The 23,796-nt window shown below is 36.5% G+C and overlaps 1 protein-coding gene across 47 annotated transcripts in view; it reads left to right on the forward strand.

Annotated features, from left to right (window-relative positions):
- The window catches only part of RIMS2 (regulating synaptic membrane exocytosis 2), a 755,485-nt gene that overhangs the window by 219,319 nt on the left and 512,370 nt on the right, over positions 1-23,796 (forward strand). The gene's annotated exons all lie outside the window — the stretch shown is intronic.

Raw genomic sequence — 23,796 nt, forward strand, 5'->3', positions numbered from 1 at the left:
TCCTTTCTCTCTTTTGACAACAGTTATTAGTTTTCTTAGGATATTGGTATCTCTTGAGACAACACTAGATAAAAAGTTCACTTGTTAGTTGTTAACTTTTATTGTAGAAGAATAATGTTACTAATGGTCATGATTATTGAAATGAAGGGTGTGGAAGGGTGATATATGACCTGCAGTAATTCTCACATTTCAGAAGTATACAAGTTATCTTTTGGTTTGCAGCTGCAGCTATGATGTTCAGAGGAAGGTGCTCTGTGTTTTCAATGTAATCTCTTTCTGATTAAGTGCATTATACCTTCATAATTTAAGCACATAGGCCTTCATAACCTGTGTATTCTTCTAGCTGCTCATTGTTATTCTCATATAGAGTTGCAATTTAGCATGTACTTATGCTAAATTAAGTATATGTAATTTAGCATATACTTAAAAGTATTTTTCAAATTACATCATTTTTGATTATTCCATTTCATCTGGGCAATGGCTGTGTGGAACTTCATTCTAGTAAATACTGACTTAACAGTGGTAGATTAATTTATTTGCATTTGCACTTCTATTTATTAATACAGTAAGATGTAAATCACCTTAATAAAATCATTCTAGAAACTGAATATAACAGTCTGTCATAGCAAACTCATAAAAAAATCACAAGTTTATATATTACTACTACCATTAGTCCTATTGTATTGTAAACCTGACGAAGACCAGCATTCTTACATTGTTTAACTAGGAAATTAGACAAACATCCAGAGTATTTTTATCAGCAACATAGAGGTATTTTGGACTGTATTATTTAGACAGCATACTATTCAATAAGAATATAGGACAAAATGATTCTAGAAGGCTAGAAGAGTTTTGAGTAGTTTAAAAGGCAGAGAGAGGCTACTGACTATTTGTTTGAATATATTATACATTCTAAGTTTAGAAAAAAGATAACGTAATTTTAAAAACCATTTACCTGATTGCATATTTAGAATAAATGCACAAATGAACTTAGAAAATCTGATTTAGGTCTTGATATGATTCGGATTTGTATCCCTGCTCAAATCTCATGTTCAGTTGTAATCCCCAGTGTTAGAGGCGGGGCCTGGTGAGAGGTGATTGGATCATGGGGGTGGATCCTTCATGAATGGTTTAGCACCATCCCTTTGGTGCTGTTCTCCTGATAGAGTTCTTACAAGATCTGGTTGTTTAAAAGTATGTAACTCTTGCTCTGGCCATGTAAGATGTGCTGGCTCCCCTTCGCTTTCTGCCATGATTGCATGTTTCCTGAAGCCATGTTTATATGTTTTCTGAGGCCTCCCAGAAGCCGAGCAGATGCCAGAATCATGCTTCCTGTACAGCCTGAGAAACTGCGAGCCAATTAAACCTATTTTCTTTATAAATTATGCAGTCTCAGGTATTTCTTTATAGCAATATGAGAATGGGCTAATACAGGTCTCCTATAAAAAGGGATTAAAAATCCATGCTGTGAAAATTCTGTGAATTAAAATATCCTATAGGGCAATTATAAAAAGTGTATATGACAACTGAAAATATTAATAAAGAGCATATGTTGAAGTTTTATAGAAGATGATATTAGTAAGAAATGATTTAAAATGACTTTCAGTTTGGCTGTGATAGAGTTCACAGAAAGTTGGAGAGATGACAAAGCATATTTATAATTGCAGCATACCTAACTTCTTGTGAGCAGGCACAGGTCATACATTTTTATTATACATTTTACTACTTTTTTATCTTTTAGATAACTGCTTTGAGCAAGTTATTTCAATCATGAATACCATTCCATCCAATCTATAACTGAAAATGAAATCTATTTTCTTATCCTGCATGGGATTCCCATAACTAAAAAATACCATCAGTGAGAGTTTATGAGCTCTTAAAGTGGGAGAAAATGTCAATAGCTATATAGGGTTGGTGGATTTGAGAGTTGAGAAGAGAATAAAAAGATGGAGGAGTCAAGGATGACAACTAGCTTTCTGCATTGAATGAGGATATTTGTGCTGAAACCAGTATATGGAAGATGGAGGAGCCGTTTTGGGGTGGTGAGGGTCAGAGGGTGACGGTAGGGAAGGCAATGATTTTATGAAGATATTGAATTTGGAGAGCTTTCAGGAAACCAGGGTAGATATGTTTATTAATAATATCATTGAACACTTATTGGCCAGGTGTGGTGGCTCACAGCTATAATCCTAGCACTTTTGGGGGCCAAGGTGGGCAGATCACTTGAGGCCAGGAGCTTGAGACTAGCCTGGCCAACATGGTGAAACCCCATCTCTACTAAAAATACAAAAAAAAATTAGCCTAGCATGGTGGCACATGCCTGTAGTCCCAGCCACACAGGGGTGAGGAGATGGTTTCGGGATTATTCAAACACATTACAGTTACTGTGTACTTTATTTCTATTATTATTACATTGTAATATATAATGAAATAGTTATACAGTTCATCATATTGTAGAATCAGTGAGAGCTCTGAGCCTGTTTTCCTGCAACTAGATGGTTCCATCTGGGGTTGATGGGAGACAGTGACAGATCATCAGGCGTTAGATTCTTATAAGCAGCACGCAACCTAGATCCCTCCCATGTGCAGTTCACGATAGGATTTGTGTTCCTGTGAGAATCTAATGCCGACACTGATCTGACAGGAGGCAGAGCTCAGATGGTAATGCAAGGCGGGGAGCTGCTATAAATATAGATAAAGTTTGCTTGCTCACTCTCCCACCACTAGCCTCCTGCTGTGAAGCCCAGTTCCTAACAGGTCATGGACTGGTACTCCTGATCTGTTGGGGGTATCCTTGATCTAATAGGTTCTGCATAGATTCTTCTCCTGTTAGATTTGCTGGGTCTTTCCAGGGCCTTGATTTAATCTGTCTGACTAGGACAGAGCTGGGAGAGAACTCCTTATGGACCAGGTCTTTTTTGTATGAAACTGCTTGTGATTTCTTATCTCTGGCAGAATGAACTGATTTATTTTCATTTTCAAGACCAGCCTGACCAACATGGAGAAACCCTGTCTCTACTAAAAAATGCAACAATTAGCCGGGCATGGTGGGGCACACCTGTAATCCCAGCTACTTGGGAGGCTGAGGTAGGAGAATCACATGAACCCAGGAGGTGGAGGTTGCAGTGAGCCGAGATTGTGCCACTGCACTCGAGCCTGGGCGACAGAGCAAGACCCTGTCTCCAAACAAACAAACAAAAAGAAAATGATTTGTGGGTTGCTTTTCATTAAAAGGTAAACCTTACCAAGGACTTCCTTACCCTCACTATCTGCCTAAATAATTTCTTAACTCCTGTACCATCAGTGCTTTATTTTGATCTTTTGATGATGTCATGTTTCTCTGATTATTCACGATCTTTTGGACTTGTATTGGTGTGGGCACATTTGAAGAAGTAAGCTCTTCTTGTTCTCTTTACAAACTGGCTTCAGCAGGGAAAGCCCTTTACCAGTTAGCCTGTTCAGAGATTCTAGACCAAGTGTCTTCAGGATCCATGGGCAGGCTTGCTGCTGGAGTCTGTGGGTCAGATGGCTTGGTACCTGGGTCAGTGGATGAGTAGGCCTGACTCTTGTGCCCACAGGGGCTGGCATGTTTCCAGCATATGTGTGTGGCCTGTAGTCTGCATTCATAAGGGCTGATGACTTGCAGCCTAGGGCATCATGGGCTGGCCTGGTACTGGGTGGATCTAGAGCCTGGGACTGTGGGTGCTGGCATGGAGTCTGTGTCCACAGGTGCTGGCCTGATGACTGGAGCTACCAGGTCCAACCTGGAGTCTGAGGCTGTGGGCGCTAGCCTGGTGATGGGACTTGCTTGGTCCCTGAGCCAACATGAAAGGCTTGAAGTGTAGGTCTATAGGGTCTAGCCCATAGCCTGAGGCCACAGAGCTGGCCCAGCACTGGAAAAGGACAGGAACCTTGGTGTGTAGGGGCTGGTCTTATCCTGGTATGGGCCTACAGCCTGAGTTCACTGTCGGGGAGCCTGGAGCCTGGGGCCAGGAGGGATGGCCTGGTGCTAGGGGAAGCTTGGAGATGGGATCCACAGGAGCTGGCTTTGTGTCAGTGGTCACTGGGGAAGGCCTGATACTGGGGTACCCACTGAAGTCAGGTGCTTACTTCACTCTCTTCCCCGCCCCGCCCCCCCACAGAAATGATCTCTCTTGGCACTGTACTGCAGGGATGTGAGGGAGGGGTGATGTAAATAATGTGAAACTGTCCTTCCTACCCTCTTCGATGTGTCTGTTCTTATTTCTGTGTTCCACCCAGGTGCTATAATCTCTTACCTGGATTCCTTAGCTCTTGTGAGTGTATTTTTATGGTTGCATCATTGTTTAAATTGATGTTTCTGAGAGGGGGTGAGGGTAGAAAAATCCTACTCTGCCATCTTCCTGACATCACTCTCTGCATTTCTCTTATTGTGTACTATTCTTTGCTCATTTGTATTACTATATTTGTATTTTTAAATATGGTTTATTTGTTAAAGAATATAATTCTTTATCACATATGCTGGAAATATTTCAGGTTTTTTCTTTTGACTTCATTTAGATGTAAAACCATTTAATTGCCTTTAGTCAAATTTATCAGTCTTTTTAGCATTGGATTTTGTTACATATAGTAAAAGTTTCTTTATTTCAAGATTACAAAAATAAATTCTCCAATATTTTATCTTTTTTGTGGAATAGTTTTTAAGTTTTAAAAAACATTTATGACTTTGATTTATTCAGAATTTATTTTGATGTACAATATAAGATATGGATCCTACTTTATTTCATATTGTTACTCATTTGTCATAATACTATTTATTGAGTAACCTATTTTTTATCCACTAATGTTCACAGCCACTTTTTTCATATATAGAATTCCCATATGCATTCTGGTATATTTCTGGTCTCCTTAATCTGCCCATTGATTTTTCAATTATTTTGCCAGTACAAGTACCACATAGTTTAATGACTGTGTCTTTTTAGTATGTGTTACTGGTAGCTTGTAGCCATGGTCAGTGGCATACTGAGGGACTGTTGTTGGGAGTGGACCACCCCGGCTATAGACAGTATGAGGTGGATGAACTGCCTGTAGAAAATATTTCAAAAATATGAGAAGGGACTAAAAATTGGCCTGCTTATTAACTCCATATGTGAACAAAACTAAATTTGATACAAATTTAGTGTTAAAATACTCCTCCCCACTGTGGCAGATTACAACTCCTATCTCCCCCACCCCCACATTTGTTACACCAGTGGAGTTAGTTTCCTCACATTACTCTTCTTTACAAAAATTTCCTGGCTATTTTATTTCCTTTCTGTAAAAAATTGAAGTGTAACTTGTACATAATAAGATGCACAGAATTTAAGTATAGTTTGACAAATTTTGAAAGATATGTATATTCCCAATGTGCCTAGCACCACATCAAGATATATATTATTTCCATCATCCTAGGAAGTTTATGCATGCCCTTTTCCTGTCAGTTTTTTATCCCCGTCTCCCAAAAGGCAATCACCCTTCTGACCTTATTACCATAGGTAGATTTGCCTGTTTTTGAACATCATATAAATGAAATCATATAATATGTAGTGTCCTCTTTCAATTCAAAATCTATGAGATTCATCCATGATGTTGCCTATAACTGTAGTTTGTTCCTTTTTATTGCTGATACTACTTTATTATATGAATATGCCACAATTTGTTTATCCATTTTTCTGTTGCAGGACATATGGATTGCTTCTAGTGTTGTTGGCTATAATAAAGCCACTATAAACATTTGTGTTCAAGTCTTTTTGTGGGCTTATATGTTTCTTTTTGGTAGAAACTAGGAGTAGAGTATGCTGGATCAAGAAGCTGGATTCAATTTTCATTGCAAACAGTTTTGCAAAGGTCATATACAATTTTATATTCTTACCAGCCAAATATGAACACTCTGGTTGCTCCATAACCTCACCAGCATTTGGTTGGGTTACTGGTTTGGCTTTTTATTTCCATTTTTCTAATGATCAGTGATGGTGAGCATTATTCGTGTTTTTCGGCCATTTATATCACGTCTTTTGAGAAATGTCTGCTTCAATCTTGTGCCTATTTTAAATTTGGGTTGTTTGTCTTTTTATTATTGACTTACAGATGTTCTCACTCTATATATACTGAACAAATATCATATATAGATGGTTCCTGACTTATGATGGTTTGACTTATAATTTTTAACTTTACAATGGTGAGAAAGCAATATGCATTTATTATGCTCCTTGACTTATGATGGAGTTACATCTAAATAAACCCATCATAAGTTAAAGACATAGTAAGTTGAAAATGAGCTTTTGACTTAAGATATTTTCAGCTTAATGTTGGTTTATAGGATGTATCCCCATTGTAAGTCAAGGAGCATCTGTTAAGGATTGAGAATATCTTCTCTCTGTCTGCGGCTTGGCTTTTCATTTTCTTAATGGTGTATTTTGGAGAACAGATAATTTACATTTTGATGAAGTCCAATTTATTAACTTTTTCTTTTATGGTTAGTGCTTTTTGTAACCTAAGAAATCTTTCCCTATCTCAAGGATGCAAGGATATTCCCTTGCTATACTTTTTTATTTAGTTTTCCTTCTTTATTTTAGAATCAATTTGTTTAGTCCTAAATAGGCCATATAGGTGTTTTTTACTGGGATCACATTTAATTTATGGATAAGTTTGGGAAGAATTGTCATCTTTATGATATTAAGTCTTCATATTCAAAATTAGAATGTTTTTGATGTATTCACCTTCCTTTATGTCCCTCAATAGGATTATTTATATTAATTATATATATATTTTATTTATATTAATTATATATATATATATATTTTTGAGACAGAGTCTCGCTTTGTAGCTCAGGCTGGAGTGCAGTGGCGCGATCTGGGCTCACTGCAACTTCTGTCTCCTGGGTCCCAGTTCAAGCAATTCTCCTGCCTCAGCCTCCCAAGTAGCTGGGATTATAGGCACGTGCCATCATGCCCAGCTAATTTTTGTATTTTTAATAGAGACGGGGTTTCACCATGTTGGCCAGGCTGATCTTGAACTGCTGACCTTGTGATCTGCCCACCTCAGCCTCCCAAAGTGCTGGGATTACAGGTGTGAGCCACCGCACCCAGCCAATTTTATGTATTTCTTAATAATTTTAAAATTATAAATAAAATATTTTTACTACTTCTACTTATTTTTATATAGAAAGGATATAGATTTTTTTGTGTTATTAATGTACACAGCCACCTTTCTGAATGATATTATTTGAATTTTTTAGTTGTTTCTCTTGAATTTTAATAATATGCAACCATATGACCTGAAAATAATAATAGTTTACCTTCTTCTTTCTCATTTATTTCTCGTTTAATTGCATTAGCTAGACTCTTCAGAATAGGGTGAAATAATATATTCACTTATGAAACTAGAATAATCTATATAACTTGTCATTTTGTTATATTTCAAATTTTACTTGATGATAGTTTCCAAATATGTTCTTCAATTCTGTGGGTTGTCTCTTCACTTTGTTTATTCTTTCCTTTGAAGTGCAGAAGTTTTTTTTTTTAACTTGATGTGATCCCATTTGTCCACCTTTGCTTCAGTTGCCTGTGCTTTTAGGGTATTACTCAAGAAATCTTTGCCCAGACCAATGTCCTGGAGTGTGTCCTATCTGGTAGTAGTTTCATAGTTTCAGGTGCTGGATATAAGTCTTTTGGCAAGAGATTGGGATCTAGTCTTATTCTTCTGTGTATGGATATGCAGTTTCCCCATCACCATTTATTGAGGAGACTGACATTTTCCCAGTGTATGTTCTTGGCACCTTTGTCAAAAATAACTTCACTGTCGACGTATGGATTTGTTTCTGGGTTCTGTAGTGTGATCCATTGATCTATGTATCTGTTTTTATGTTAGTACTGTGCTGTTTTCATTGCTATAGCTTGGTAGTATAATTTGAAGTGAAGTAATGTGATTCCTCCAGTGTTATTCTTTTTGCTTAAGATAGCTTTGGCTATTCTGGGTCTTTTGTGTTTCCATACAAATTTTAGTATTTTTTTTTATTTCTGTGAAGAATGTTACTGGTATTTTAATAGGGATTTCATTGAATCTGTCAGTTACTTTGGTTAGTATGGACACTTTAACAATACTGATTTTTCCGGTCCATGAACATGGAATATCTTTTCATTTTTTTGTGTGTGTTCTCTTCAATTTCCTCCATTAATGTTTTATAGTTTTTGTTCTAGGGATCTTTTACTTCTTTGGTTAATTCCTAGGCATTTAATTTTATTTGTGTTTATTGTAAATGGGATGACTTTCTTGATTTCTTTTTCAGATTTTTTACTGTTGGCATATAGAAATGCTACTGATTTTTGTATGTTGATTTTATATCCTGGAACTTTACTGAATTTATCAGTTTGAATAGTTTTTTGGTGGAGTCTTTAGGTTTTTCCAGATGAATGAGATCATCTGTAAACAAGTATAATTTGACTTATTTATTTCTCATTTTAATGCCTTTTATCTCTTTTTCTTATCTGGTTGCTCTGTCTAGGACTTCCAGTACTATGTTGAATAACAGTGGTGGAAGTGGTCATTCTTGTCTTGTTCCAGATCTAAGGGGAAATGCTTCCAGTTGTTCCCTGTTCAGTATGTTACTAGCTGTGGGTCTGGCATACATGGCTTTTATTTTGTTGAGGTGTGTTCCCTCTATACCCTTTTTTTGGGGGATGTACCCTTCTTTTAGTTTTCTATAACCTTCTATGCCCTTTTTAAAAAGTTTTTCCCTGTACAGTGTTATACTCAATGTAGGCCTGTCCCTATGGCTTTTATTTTGTTGAGGTATGCTCCTTCTTTTTTTTTTTTTTTTTTTAGGATTTTTATCTTGAAGGAATGGTGAATTTTCTCATTTGCTTTATTATTATCAATTGAAATGATCGTGTGGTTTTTGTCCTTCATTCTGTTGACATGATGTAACAAATTGATTGATTTACGTTTGTTGAGCCATCCTTGTATCCCTGGGATAAATCTCATTTGGTCATGATGAATAATCTTTCTAATGTATTGTTGAATTTGGTTTGCTAGTATTGTGTTGAGAATTTTTGCATCAATGTTCATCAGTGATTTTGGCCTTTAGTTTTTTTGTTTTTCACTGTGTCTTTGTCTGATTTTGGTATCAGGGTCATAATGGCCTCATAGAATGAGTTTGGAAATATTCCCTCCTTTATTTTTGGGAATACTTTGAGTAAGATTGGTATTAGTTTTTCTTTAACTATTTGGTAAAATTCAGCAATGAAGACGTTGGATCCTGGGCTTTTCTTTGCTGGGAAACTTTTAATTATGGCTTTGATCTCATTACTTGTTCTTGGTCTATCCAAGCTTTGGAGTTCTTCATGTTTGAATCTTGGTAGGTTGTATGTGTCTATGAATTTATCTATTTTTTCTAGGTTTTCCAACTTACTGGCATATTGCTGTTCATAGTAGCCTCTAATGATTCTTTGAATTTCTGCAATATCAATTTTAACATCTCCTTTTTCATGTTTGATTTGATTTATTTGGGGTTTCCCTCTTTTTTTCTTAGTCTGGCTAAAGGTTTGTTTATTTTGTTTACCTTTTCAAAAAACTAACTTTGTTTTATTGATCTTTTGTATTTTTTCATTTTATTTTCATTTATTTCTGCTATGATTTGTGTTATTACTTCTACTTATTTTGGGTTTGGTTTTCTAGTTCTTTAAGATGCACTGTTAGTTTATTTTAAGTTTTTCTACTTTTTTGGTATTCGTTTATTGCTATGAACTTTCTTCTTAGTACTGCTTTTGCTCTATCTCATAGGTTTTGGTATGTTGTATTTCCATTTTCATTTGTTTCAAGAAACTTTTCAGTTTCCTTCATAATTTGTTCATTGGCCTACAAGTCACTCAGGAGCATTATTTAATTTCCATGTGCTCACATGGTTTGTAAAATTCCTCTTGTTATTGATTTTTAGTTTTATTTCATTGTGGTCAGAGAAGATACTTAATATAATGTTAGTTTTTCTTGAATTTTTAAAGACTTGTTTTGTGGCCTAGCATATGGTCTATGCTTGAGAATGATTCATGTGCTGAGGAAAATAATGTATATTCTGCAGTTGTTGGATGCAGGCAGTGTTCTGTAATTATCTATTAGGTCCATTTGGACTATACTGCAGATTATGTCTGATGTTTCTTAATTGACTTTCTGCCAGGATGATTTGTCCAGTGCTGAGAGTGAGGTGTTGAAGTCTTCAGGTCTCATTGTATTGTCCGTGGGTGGTGGGGGGTTTAAGTCTCTCTCTCTTTCTTTAGCTCTAGTAATATTTGCTTTCTATTTCTGGGTGCTCCAGTGTTGGGTGATTATATATTTGCAATTGTTATATATATAGAGGACCTCTAATAATATTTGCCTTCTATTTCTGGGTGCTCCAGTGTTGGGTGATTATATATTTGCAATTGTTATATTCTTTTGCTGATTGACACCTTTATCATTATATAATTACCTTCTTTGTCTCTTTTTATAGTTTTTGTCTTGAAATGTATTTTGTCTAATTATAGCTAACTTGTACACTTTAACCTAATTTCCCCACTTTTTAACTTTTGTTGTTTCTATTTATATCTTATTATACTGTCTTTGTCTAGAAATTTTTTGTAGCTATTATTTTGATAGATTCATCTTTTGGTCTTTCTACTCAAGTTATGCATACCTTACACGTCACAATTACATTGGTGTAATCTTTTGTGTTTTTCTATGTAGTTACCATTAGCAATGAGTTTTGTACCTTCAGATAATTTCTTATTTCTCATTAACATTATTTTCTTTGAGAGTGAAGAACTCTAGTATTTTCTGTAGGACAGATCTGATGTTGATGAAATCTCTCAGCTTTAGTTTGTCTGGGGAAGTCTGTATTTCTCCTTCATGTTTTAAGGATGTTTTCACTGTGTATTAGTTCATTTTTATGTTGCTGATAAATGCATATCCGAGACTGGATAACTTATAAAGGAAAGAGGTTTAATTGACTCACAGTTCCACGTGGGTGGGAGGCCTCACAGTCATGGCAGAAGGTGAAGAGGAGCAAAGTCACATCTTACATGGATGGCGGCAGTCAAGAGAGAGCTTGTGCAAGGGAACTCCTCTTTATAAAACCATCAGATCTTGTGAGACTTATTCACTATCATGAGGTCAGCATGGGAAAGACCCACCGCATGATTCAATTACCTCCCACAGGGTCCCTCCTATGATACATGGGAATTGTGGGAGCTACAATTCATGGTGAGATTTGGGTGGGGACACAGCCAAACCATATCACAGTGGATGCACTGTTCAAGGATAAAAGGTTTTTTTTCTTTCCCACTTGAAAGATGTCATGCCACTGTTTCCTAGTCTATAAGGTTTCCACTGAGAAGTCTGCTGCCAGACATATTGGAGCTGCATTCTATATTGTTTTTGTTTGTTTCTGTAGCTGCTTTTAGGAAGCTTTTATCTTGACCTTCAGGAGTTTGATTATTAAATGTTTTGAGGTAGTCTTCTTGGAGTTAAGTTTTGGTATTCTAATCTTCTTGCCCTTTAATATTGATATCTTTCTGTAGGTATAGGAAGTTCTTTGTTATTATCCCTTTGAACAAACTTTCTAACTCTCTATCTCCTCTTTCAGGACAATTAACTCTTAGATTTGCCATTTTGAAGCTATTTTCTAAATCTTGTAGTCCTGCTTTATTCTTTTTTATTATTTTTTCTTTTGTCTCCTATCACTGTGTTTATTCAAATAGGCTGTCTGCAAGCTCACTAATTCTTTCTTCTCCTTGTTCAATTTTGCCATTAAGAGACTCTGATGCATTCTTCAGTATGTCAGTTGCATTTTTGAACTCCAGAATTTCTGCTTGATTCTTTTGAATCATTTCAATCTCTTTGTTAAATTTATCTGATAGGATTCTGAATTCCTTCTCCATGTTATCTTGAATTTCAATGAGCTTCTTCAAAACAGCTATTTTGAATTTTCTATATGAAAGGTCACATATCTGTCTCTCTTGTGCATTAGTTTGTTTGGTGAAGTCATATTTTCCTGGATAGTCTTGGTGCTTGTTGATGTTTGTTGATGTCTGGGCATTGAAGAGTTAGGTATTTATTATAGTCTTCACAGTCTGGGGTTGTTTGTACTTGCACTTTCTTGGGTAGGTTTTCCATGTATTCAAAGGGTCTTGGGTGTTGTGATCTAAGTTTTTGGTCACTGTAGCCATATCTACGTAAGGGGGTACCCCCAGCCCATTAATGCTGTGACTCTAACAGACTCACCGAGGTGCTGATGCCATGGTGGTCTTGGGTAAGATCTGGGAGAATTTCATGTATTACTAGGCAGAGACTCTTGTCTTCCCTTCCTTTCTCCAAAGAAATGGAGCCTCTCTTTGTGCTGAGCTGCCTGGGGTTGTGGGAGGGGTGACACAAGCACTCCTGTGGTCTACACCACTGTGACTGTGCTACGTCAGATCCAAAGGCAGCAGAGCCCTGGGAGTTGCTTAAGGCCCGCAGTGACCACTGGTGAACATATCATCTATGTTCACTCAAGGCTTAAGGGCTCTACAATCAGCAGGTGATTAAAGCCTGCCAGGCTTGCATCCTTCCTTTCAGTGTGGTAAGTTTCCCTCAATCCTGGGTGGGTCCAGAGATATCATCTGGGAGCCAGGGCCTGGAGTTGGGAACCCTTGAAATCTACCTGGTGCTTTGTACTACTGCAGCTGAGCTTGTACCCAAGCTGAAAGACAAAATGTTTCCCACTCTTCCCTCTCCTTCCAAAGAGGACTTTCCCTTCATCACCACCACCGCGGACCTATGGCCTCTACTACTTGGCTTCTGCTGATGTTTGCTCAAGTACCAAGATCTTTTTAGTCAGCTTTTAGTGAATGCTTCAAATCCTGAGTCTCTTCCTTCAGGGTAGTCAGTTCCCTTTTGACTCAGGGGAGGTCCAGGGTCAAGGAGTGAAGGCTTGGAAGTGGGACTCCATGAGCTCACTTGGTGCTCTACCACACTGTCACTGAGCTGGTACACCTGCAAGACAAAGTCCTTTTTACTCTTCCCTTTTCTTTTCTCATGCAGCAGGAGTCTATTAACCACCATAGGCTGCAATGTGCTGAGTAACACCTGAGGGCAGCATGGCTCTGAGTCTCACTCAAGGCCCACAGCAGGTATTGCCTGGCTTCCACTGGTGTTTATTCTGGGTTCAAGGGCCCTTTAGTCTGCAGGTGATGATTCCTGCCAGGACTGGGTTCTCTTCAAGGCAGCGGGTTCTCTTCTTGCCCAAGGTGTGTCTAGCAATGTTGTCTGGGAGCTAGAGCCTGGAATGGAGACTTCATGAGTCTGCCTGGTACCCTGTTCTACTGTGGCTTAACTGGTATCCATGTTGCAAGACAAATCCTTTTTACTCTTCCAAGCAGAGGAACGAAGTCTCTCCCAGTAGTGTGAGCTTCATTGCCTGGGGCTGGGGGAAGGGGTGGTGCAAGCACTCCCCTTGCCACCTCAGCTGGTGTCTCACTTGGTTGCATGTTCCCAAGTTCACTGACTTCAAGCCCAGCATAGCACCAGGACTTACCCAGAAATCGCAGTCTGGTGGCCTAGAATGGCTTTCAAGTTTATTTAGAACCCTGGAACACTTTAGCACATGGTGGTGAGGCTTGTCTGAACTCAGGTTCTCACTGCTGGGATGGGTGATTCTCTTCTGGCTAGAACTGGTCTAAATGCTTCTTCTGTGGGTGGTAGCTGAGTGCTGGCTGGTGTTGCTTTCCACTTCATCAGGTCAGCACTGAGTTCCAACGCTAAGTCGCATAATCACTGTTCTCTCCCTCCTCCAAACTCACAGATTCTCTTTCCACACTTCATGGTTGCTGCTGTGGACTTGGGGAGGGGTGGTGTAGGTGATTTAAGATGGTCTTTTCTATCTTCAGTTCCTGTTTTCTTAATATGTTGTTTAAACCAGATACTGTGATTGCTCACCTGCTTTGGGTTTTTATGATCGTGTTTTTTGTGTGGATAGTTGTTCAATTTGGTGTTTCTATGGTGGGAATGATCACTGGAGGCTTCTATGTGGCCATCTTGCTTTACCTCTCCTAAAAGCTTCTTTTTTTTTTTTTTTTTTTTTTTTTCCCAGACGGAGTCTCGCTGCTGGAGTGCAGTGGTGTGATCTTTGCTCACTGCAACCTCCGCCTCCTGGGTTCAATCAATTCTCCTCCCTCAGCCTCCCAAGTAGCTGGGGCTACAGGTGCACGCCACCACACCCAGCTAATTTTTGTATTTTCAGTAGAGATGGGGTTTCACCATGTTGGCCAGGATGGTCTCAATCTCTTGACCTTGTGATCTACCCACCTCGGCCTCCCAAAGTGTTGGGATTACAGGCGTGAGCCACCACACCTGGCCTAAAAGCTTTTTTTTTTTTTTTTTTAACATTTCTTTTAGTGCAGGTTTACTAGGGATAAAATATTTCAACTTTTGTACATCTGAAAATGTATTTTATCCATATTTTTGGGGATATATTTTATGGATTTATAATTCTAGGTTGGATGGTTCTTTTTTTTTTTTTAGCACTTTAAACATATTAGTATTTTTATTTCTTTTTTTGTCTTCTGAACTCCATTGTTTCTCAGGTGAAATAGTAGACACCCTCTGCTTGTTATTCCTTGTAAGGACTGGAGTATCTGCAGGTTTTCTCTCAATTCCGCTGCCTTGGCAACAGGTACTATATGCCTGTTCCTGACAGAGTATCTTTTTTAACATTTCTGCAGTTTTGTCTTTTGCAGATGCCTTCATACTAAGTGCAAAGTCTAGCATGTCTGAAGCGTTCCTCAGATCTCTAGCTACATCTGCAAGCTTTGGTAGGCCTCTTGTGCCTATTTCTTTTTTGGTCAAGGGTTTCTCTCAGTTCCCATGATCATCCCTTAGTGATAATGCATATTTTCTACCTCTTATTATAAGGCCTGAAATACTGGAGGGTTCTTCTCTCAGTTTTCTAATCACACTTCTGTGCCACCGAAGGGCACAGGTTTTCTGTACTGTCACTAGTCTTTTTTATGAGCATTTGGTAAGGGATCATGGAAAATAGTCACTAGGTGGGTTTAGATTCCCCTGCGTCTGGGGTTGCAGGGATACTAACACTGCTACACCAACCCACACTCAGTCTTTCCAACATTTGTTAAAAGTTCAGCCTATTTCTCCTCACATCTGTGGCAGCTTCCTCCTCTTCTCACTGCTCTGTTAGTGATGAAAGCTGCTTTGCTTTCTCCTCAAAGAGCCTTGTTATTATTTTGGTTTTTAGTTCAGTAAATTTCTTTTTGACTTCAGTACAGTGAAGGGCTCCAGAAAACTGATTTTGTAGTTGAATCTGGCTGATTTTCATTGTTAAAGTGGGAGTGATGTTTTCTTGTTACTTTCTATAGCCTAAGCAGAAACAGACAAATGTCAATGAAAATATTTTTAATTTCCAGAAATTCTATTTTATTTCATATATGTTTAATCCTTTTTGGTGTTTTTATTTACTCCTTTACATCATTAATAATTTTAAACATATTTATAATTTTTAATATCTTGTTCTTTTATTTGAAGTTCTTTTGGTTTTGATTCTGTTTTTATGATTGCTGATGTTCGTTCATGGTGGATTATTCATGTGATTTATAATTTTCACCTGTGAACTTATTTTTGGAGGACCTCAAATCATGGGAATCTTTGGCAGCCATTGCTGATGGTGTGTCTCTTAAGAAGTTTTAAATTTTTCTCCTAAGTGTTTTCTTGGAATATTTGGCCTGGGATTAGTGTTCTTGATGATTTCAGGTTTCTTGGTTCATGGACCAAGCTGCAAATTATAAACCTGTGTGTGCAGTACAGGACAATGTTCTGAATTACTGGGAGAGACGTTTTTTTGTTAGTCCAGAGTATAAGCAGAGACATACTTCCTTGTGCATTCTTTTGTCAGTAGATGAACTTTTTCTAGTTTATCTTTTCATTAAAGATATTGAGTTTTAAATACCCTGGCTTTGTGCATCATCTTAGATTCAGCTCTTCAGCCTATGTAGTACTTAGGCTTTATTTTTAAATTCTGTGTTGCTCCTGCATAGGTGCTAAAATGTAAATTACACAATGTCAGTTTATGCGCGTAATATTCTGGTTTATAACTCCATCTTCCTTTGTGGCACCTTGGCTTTTCTTTCTTTGCAGCTCAGCTTTTCATTTAATATAATTTGGGTTTAATAGCCATAGTAATTTTCAGAGTATTTTAATGTGCAGTCATACTTGTTGTAATGTGAGTCAAAACTCAAGTCAAAATTTGAATTCCTTGAAGTAACCCATGGCAATTAGAATATTTTTAGAGTTTAATATCTATTATATTGAGTTAAGCTGGAATTCTGCAGAACAATGTATAATAGAAGTTTTTGACATCAAAGTCCCATGGGGCTACATTTTAAAGAGGAGAACAGTACAACAATAAATAGCTGGTTCCATTTTGCCACTTGTATGAACAGACCTAGCCAGTTTATTAGCTTGAACTTCTGCATGTTTTGAATCTATTCATTATGAGAAATGACTTATTCATATTTTTTACCCAAGTGAAGGGACACAAAACTATATTCTGGTATTAGTGAGAATATGGCCTTGTTTCTTTTACCCTTACCTTGGACTAATTTTGGTCTATTATGTCCAGTTATGAATTGGCTGGCGTGAATCTAAAAACCATATTTGTCTTTATAATTACTCACGTTTGGCTCAAGTTTACTTCTCAACTGATTTTAATTTGAGAATTGGATTTTGTATGGAAATAAAATTTTGGTTTGTTCTTGGGAGGACTTTAGGGATTCTTGAAACATAATATAATGGCCTATAATTGAGTTTTGTCACTAAAAATGACACCTTTTCCATGAAGAGTTTTTCTTTCTTACTTATTTTATACTAGGGTTGACATTTAGGTAGAACAGAATCTTATAGACCTTTGTGAGCAGGAATGAATTGTGAATTATTGGGCTTGTTTTCCTCAGATCAGCCATCTATTTTATCTGTAGTATCAAATGAAATTCCAAGAGTGAGAGAATAGAAGATGGGAATAGAAGATGGGCTTTAAATATAATCTGTGTACCAATATTTTCTAAATGTATATTCTATGACTTGTTTCCTTAGATATGTAATATGCATCTCAAACTTAATATGCATCCCCTTGAAAGCATTATTGGATACTTTTTTCCTTTAACCAAAAACCTCTAGGCATAATTTTTCCTTTTCTTTTCTTTTTCTTTGTTCTTTTTTTTTTTTTTTTTTTTTTTTTTGAGACAGAGTCTTACTCTGCCACCCAGGCTGGAGTGCAGTGGAATGATCTCAGCTCACTGCATCCTCCGCCTCCCAGGTTCAAGTGATTCTCCTGCCTAAGCCTCCTGAGTAGCTGGGATTACAGGTGCATGCCACCATGTCTGGCTAATTTTTTTCTATTTTTTAGTAGAGATAGGGTTTCACCATGTTGGCCAGGCTTGTCTCAAACTCCCAACCTCTGGTGGTCCTCCCGCCTCAGCCTCACAAAATGCTGGGATTATAGGAGTGAACCACTGTGCCCAGCCTGGAATAACTTCTTAATTGGTCTCTTTGCTTCTTTCCTCCAACCTTTCATACGTCTACTAGGATGGTATTTTTCAAAATGCAATCAGATTGTGTCATTTTCATTCTTACATGCTTACTCACGTAACTTCCTATTGGGGCACACAGGGAAGGCAAAATGCAATCTGGCTTCTGACTATCTTTCTAACATCTCATACCATTCTTCCCCTCAGGTATTTCTGTTCCTGAAGCAACCAAGCCCTTTCCTACCTAAAGGCATTTACATATGTTGTTTCTTATACCTGGAATGCACTTCACCAGATTTTTACATGGCAAGCTCATTCTCATCTTTGATATAGTTCTCCTGTCATCATTTTACAGGGCTCTTCTCTAACTACCCTCTGTAGGGTGTTACTTCCATCAACATCACCTACTCTCATCATATCACTCTGATTTTTCTTGAAAGTGCACTTATATGATTATTTTGTTTATATGTCTGTTTACTTGTTTATTGTGTATCTTCTCCACTAGACGATAAGTTCCATGAGAATAGGAACATGTCTGTCTTCTTTAATACTGTGTTTCTAATAAGTAGCATAGGGCTTGGTACACAGTAATATGTGTTCAATGATTGTTTATTAATATGTAAATAATTCAGTGATTGAATGAAATAGATATTTCCTGATATCACTAATTTTCTTCCCTGCCCTCAACCCAAAATGAGCAGATGAAATAAGAAAAAGGACATAAAATGAGATCATCATTTTATTAAGTTATTGTATAACATATTATACACTCCAAATTGAAGTGGAAAGATTTTAAATTTCAGTCACTTTGATTTAAACTTCAAAAACTGGCTAGCCATATGTAGAAAGCTGAAAATGGATCCCTTCCTTACACCTTATACGAAAATTAATTCAAGATGGATTAAAGATTTAATTGTTAGACCTAAAACCATAAAAACCCTAGAAGAAAGCCTAGGCAATACCATTCAGGACACAGGCATGGACAAGGACTTCACGTCTAAAACACCAAAAGCAATAGCAACAAAAGCCAAAATTGACAAATGGGATCTAATTAAACTAAAGAGCTTCTGCACAGCAAAAGAAACTACCATCAGGGTGAACAGGCAACCTACAGAATGGGAGAAAATTTTTGCAATCTACTCATCTGACAAAGAGCTAATATCCAGAATCTACAAAGAACTCAAACAAATTTACAAGAAAAAAACAACCCCATCAAAAAGTGGGCAAAGGGTATGAACAGACACTTCTCAAAAGAAGACATTTATGCAGCCAACAGACACATGAAAAAATGCTCATCGTCACTGGCCATCAGAGAAATGCAAATCAAAACCACAACAAGATACCATCTCACACCAGTTAGAATGGCGATCATTAAAAAGTCAGGAAACAACAGGTGCTGGAGAGGATGTGGAGAAATAGGAACACTTTTACACTGTTGGTGGGACTGTAAACTAGTTCAACCATTGTGGAAGACAGTGTGGCGATTCCTCAAGGATCTAGAACTAGAAATACCATTTGACGTAGCCATCCCATTACTGGGTATATACCCAAAGGATTATAAATCATGCGGCTATAAAGACACATGCACACGTATGTTTATTGTGGCACTATTCACAATAGCAAAGACTTGGAACCAACCCAAATGTCCATCAATGATAGACTGGATTAAGAAAATGTGGCACATATACATCATGGAATACTATGCAGCCATAAAAAAGGATGAGTTCATGTCCTTTGTAGGGACATGGATGAAGCTGGAAACCATCATTCTCAGCAAACTATCGCAAGGACAAAAACCCAAACACCGCATGTTCTCACTCATAGATGGGAATTGAACAATGAGAACACTTAGACACAGGAAGAGGAACATCACACACTGGGGCCTGTCGTAGGGTAGAGGGAAGGGGGAGGGATAGCATTAGGAGATATACCTAATGTAAATGACGAGTTAATGGGTGCAGCACACCAACATGGCACATGTATACATATGTAACAAACCTGCACGTTGTGCACATGTACCCTAGAACTTAAAGTATAATATAAAACATAAAATAAACTTCAATGTTATTTAAAATTTTAAAAATTGTGTCAGGCATATCACTGGAACTTAGCTAACACTGGCTGCAACAGACCTGGTGATTTTTTTCTCTGTTTACTTTACATTAGCTTTCTAACTTTTGATCCAGTCATTTGAAATTAAGAGAACATAGAAAATAGAAATGAGTAGTTCAATTAGATATTGTAACAATTATCTCTTTATCATGTATTACTCCTTCTTCAGTGTGCATTCCAAGGGATTCCTTTTTCTGCTTCTCAGAGACCTCTGCTTCTCAGAGTCTCTAGGAGCAAAACATAGCACTTTAGTCTAATAGAGTGCTCACTGGCTAGTCTGTTTCTTTGTACCATAGACTAAGTCCTCAAGTGTCATCATTATATATCTTGGGGTCTGTTTCACTTTTGAGAGCAATTTTTATTATATTGGATGGTGGAAATAGATTAAGATGCATATTTATAAATATGAACCTTGTCCCAGGCCCAGAGAGAATATCCACCCTTTGTACTTTAATTTAGAGTGGACGGGAAATGATTTGTTTAGATAAGCATTGTTTTATGCCAACATAGGAAGTTAACATTCTGTTAGTGTTCAGTAATATGTAGCTTTTCTTCTGTTGTCAGAATAGTCACTACTATTAAGATTGTGGGGCAGTGAAGAGAAAGGAGGGGAAGAATATACGTTGTTAACATGCCAAGTGGGAACGTGAAATGTATTTTCCCACAGAAACAATTTTATAAGTGGTGATTAAATAGAATATTAGTGAGTATTACTGCATAAGCCATGATGACTTAACCTAGATGCCTGCTGACTTCTTGGCAGTCAGATGGTAGAGAAGGGAAGAAATGCCTTAGTAGGCAACGCCTGGCTTATAGGGCTTCTTGTAGAGGATGGCAATTTATGACTTGCTCAGAAAATATTGTACACTTTAGCTCAATGGAAGATGGTTATAGATTGGGGAACTTATCTAGTCTGGTGTTAGGTGATGGGTGGAGGAAGCTGAATATTATATGCAGTAGCTGAGATGGCAGTTCTGACATTGATCTTGAAATATGTTTACTTTGAATCCGTAATTTAATTTCGAATAACCTGTTACTTTCTCACATATTTTTAAGATGACATCTAATATTTTCATTGTATGTTTAAGTGGTTGCAAAGGGTACAAATTCTAGCAAGTTATCAATACGACCTTTTACAGTAAAACTGTTACAGCCTCTTTAAAAATGTATCCAGTGGAATATAAATAGCATAGCAGTTTGATAACTTCAATTAGCCTTAAAAATGAAACAAATACATGAACAAACTTTTTTTAACAATTGAAAGTTTTCTTTCCTTGTTTTTTATTGAATTTTTATTTACATTTTCTTCACAGCAGTTTATCCACATGTAATATATTTTTTGCTAGAATTTTTAAAAAGATAACCTTTTTATATTTTTTCAACAAAATATGTATATAAGTTGAAATTAAACATTTTAAGAATTTCAGTGACCATAAGTCTTAAAGTTTTGAAAAATTTCTATTGGATTGAGTTTAATTGTAATAATTATTAATACACAATTGTTTAAAATAAATGCAAATTTTGATTACAAATAATTAAATATAAGACATAAAATTTTACTGGAAATTCATTTCTTGATGAGACAAAAGGGACTGGTTTTCTTTCAAAATTGTTCATAAATCCATGGACAAATATTACTTAGTACAGACCCAGATAGAATTCAACATCAATTCTATTTCTATTTCCTTCGTTTTTATAGATGCAAATGCTGAGGAAATATGTTCACATTAATGACTAGATGTGAATAGAAAGAGGTTGGTTAGAACAATTCACTCAATTCTTTGAAGTCTTTCCAAATTATGTGAACAAAATTATAGTAATCTATCATCACAAATTATTTTTAATTATATATCAGCTGACTATTAATTTAGGTTTTTTTCTCAACTTGTTGAAAGCAAAGAATTGAAGACACCAGGCTTGCAAAATGATTTGTTACCCAGGTGGTGAGTCATTCTGTCTGTTTCTGGGAGTTATACCAAAAAAGCTGTACCAAGACTTATCAAATGACTATTTAAACTTAACCATCCTTTCACTTAGAGGCACCTTGTTTAAGTCAATATACTAAAAAGGATTTGGAAAATGCTCATTTTAGCGTCCCTGCCGATTACAGTTACTGTTGATAAAGTTATTTTGCCTTTTCACATGCTTTAAGTTATTTTTATAAGTATCTTAGAACTATATATTTAGCTTTGAGCTTATCGAAAATGTGAAACATATGAGCTAATTTCCAAAGCTGGTCCTGTTGTCAAACCAATCAGCCACATGAAACTTTCTGTCAGAGAAAGTCTCACTTTACTTTGCGATTTAAATAAGTATGTTAATACAGATCATCTGAGAATGTGATTACATACTGTGACAAAAGCTATGTATGAGTGCACCCTGTTTACTTACTCACCACTTGAAAAAATTTAATATTATATGTATTAATGCTGTATTAATAATAGTTCCCATGTTAATGGTAGCATCTGATACTCCAATCAGGACTCAACTTCTTAAGAACAGTTTCTTTATGAATATGAATGCTTTCAATGTAGGCTTTAAAGTATAAGTATTATCCATTAGTCTATTTCTTATGATTATCCACTGAGTCAACTCCATTCTTGAGATGGATATAAAGATCCTGAAGATCCTTATATATTTAGCCAAGTAAAACCAAAACAACCTAAATGTGAGTATTTACAGTTTTGAATTCTCTTCACTAGTGGATTCCTGGGCAAGTCTCTTAATGTGCCATCATTTCATCAAATATGTTATTTTTGTTATGATTGCAAATGACTAGAACCATATGTACATAATGAGTCTGTAAGTAATATCTTCTACCATTACTTTTGCCATGATCTGAACAATGCCTTCTGCAGTTTTATAAACTCTATAATTATATCTGTAAGGGTTTAATACAATTGCACTGACAGACTTACCAGGCAACATCCTTTTAGCTTTTCACTTTTGTAGCAGACGCAATAACCCTTTTTGTCATATAAGATTTCCTAGCTTTAGTAGTGAGCAATATTAATTTATAAAAGCTCTCTAAAGCCAGTCTTGATTAACTGCTTGTAAGTTGCTAATACCCTCTGTTTTCTTATAATGTGAATAGTTTTCTTTAGGGTTTGAATGTTTTGTGAATAAATGATGCTTCAAGAGAGATGGTTTCATGCTGTTTTCTTTAACAACGATGCCTCAAGGGCAGAATCTCTCAGGGGCTCTCTGGAGCAGTGCATTCTTTCATAATTAGGAGTCACTTTCCCAGGAGGATTATATATCTGAGGACATTATCTTACATATACTCGTACCTTTCTTCTTAATGCTTTATGAATTCTAACAAATTTCAAGCTATTAAACAGCATTAGTTTATTATAAGATAGCGTACCATGAACAGGCTTTTTAAGGTCTGATCTACATTATTAGCAATTAAGATATTTTTATAAAGGATGTCAGTTAAGTTCCTTTTATGCCCTCTTCCAAAATTTGTTTAGCAAGTACCTTGTTTTAGTCATGGGTGTATAACTGTAGCATCACTAATGTTCTCTGGACACAGAAGAAAACTCTGCACCTTTAATAAGCAAGTACTTTTGTTAGCTGTTGACACAACTCCATTTATGTCAACATCTAATCTACAAATGCATTCTATATTTCATGTATATAACAGGAATCAGCCATATATTTCTTTCTTTTCAAGATATTTGCCAATTGACTACAATGAATACTTTAGAGATCTATTGGGAAACTAAGTTAAGAAAATTATGATGACTCCAGAATTATTGCCGGATAAATTTGTTTATCTGCAGTTTCTATTCCATTGAGTTAACAGTGTCTGATTTGAAAATATTCTTTAAAAATTGATAACTCTGGATTATTAGGATAAAAAAACCGCATTATAGTTTACCTAGCTATCAAGATCATTTAAAAGTGGCATAACTGAACTGAAGTTTCCTTTTTGTCATATCGTATAATTAGCATCTATATTTATTACTTATGATTTTATTGATATCACAGATTCTTTTGTTTACATTTATATTGTAAACATATATTAATTTATGCTCTAAGGAAGTATTTGAGAAAACCTGGTTTTATTTGGTCAGATAGTATGCAAATTTAAAGGGAATGAATCTAAAGCTTCCCCATT

This window comes from Homo sapiens, chromosome 8 (genome assembly GCF_000001405.40).
Source record: "Homo sapiens chromosome 8, GRCh38.p14 Primary Assembly".
NCBI classification, from domain to species: Eukaryota; Metazoa; Chordata; class Mammalia; order Primates; family Hominidae; genus Homo; species Homo sapiens.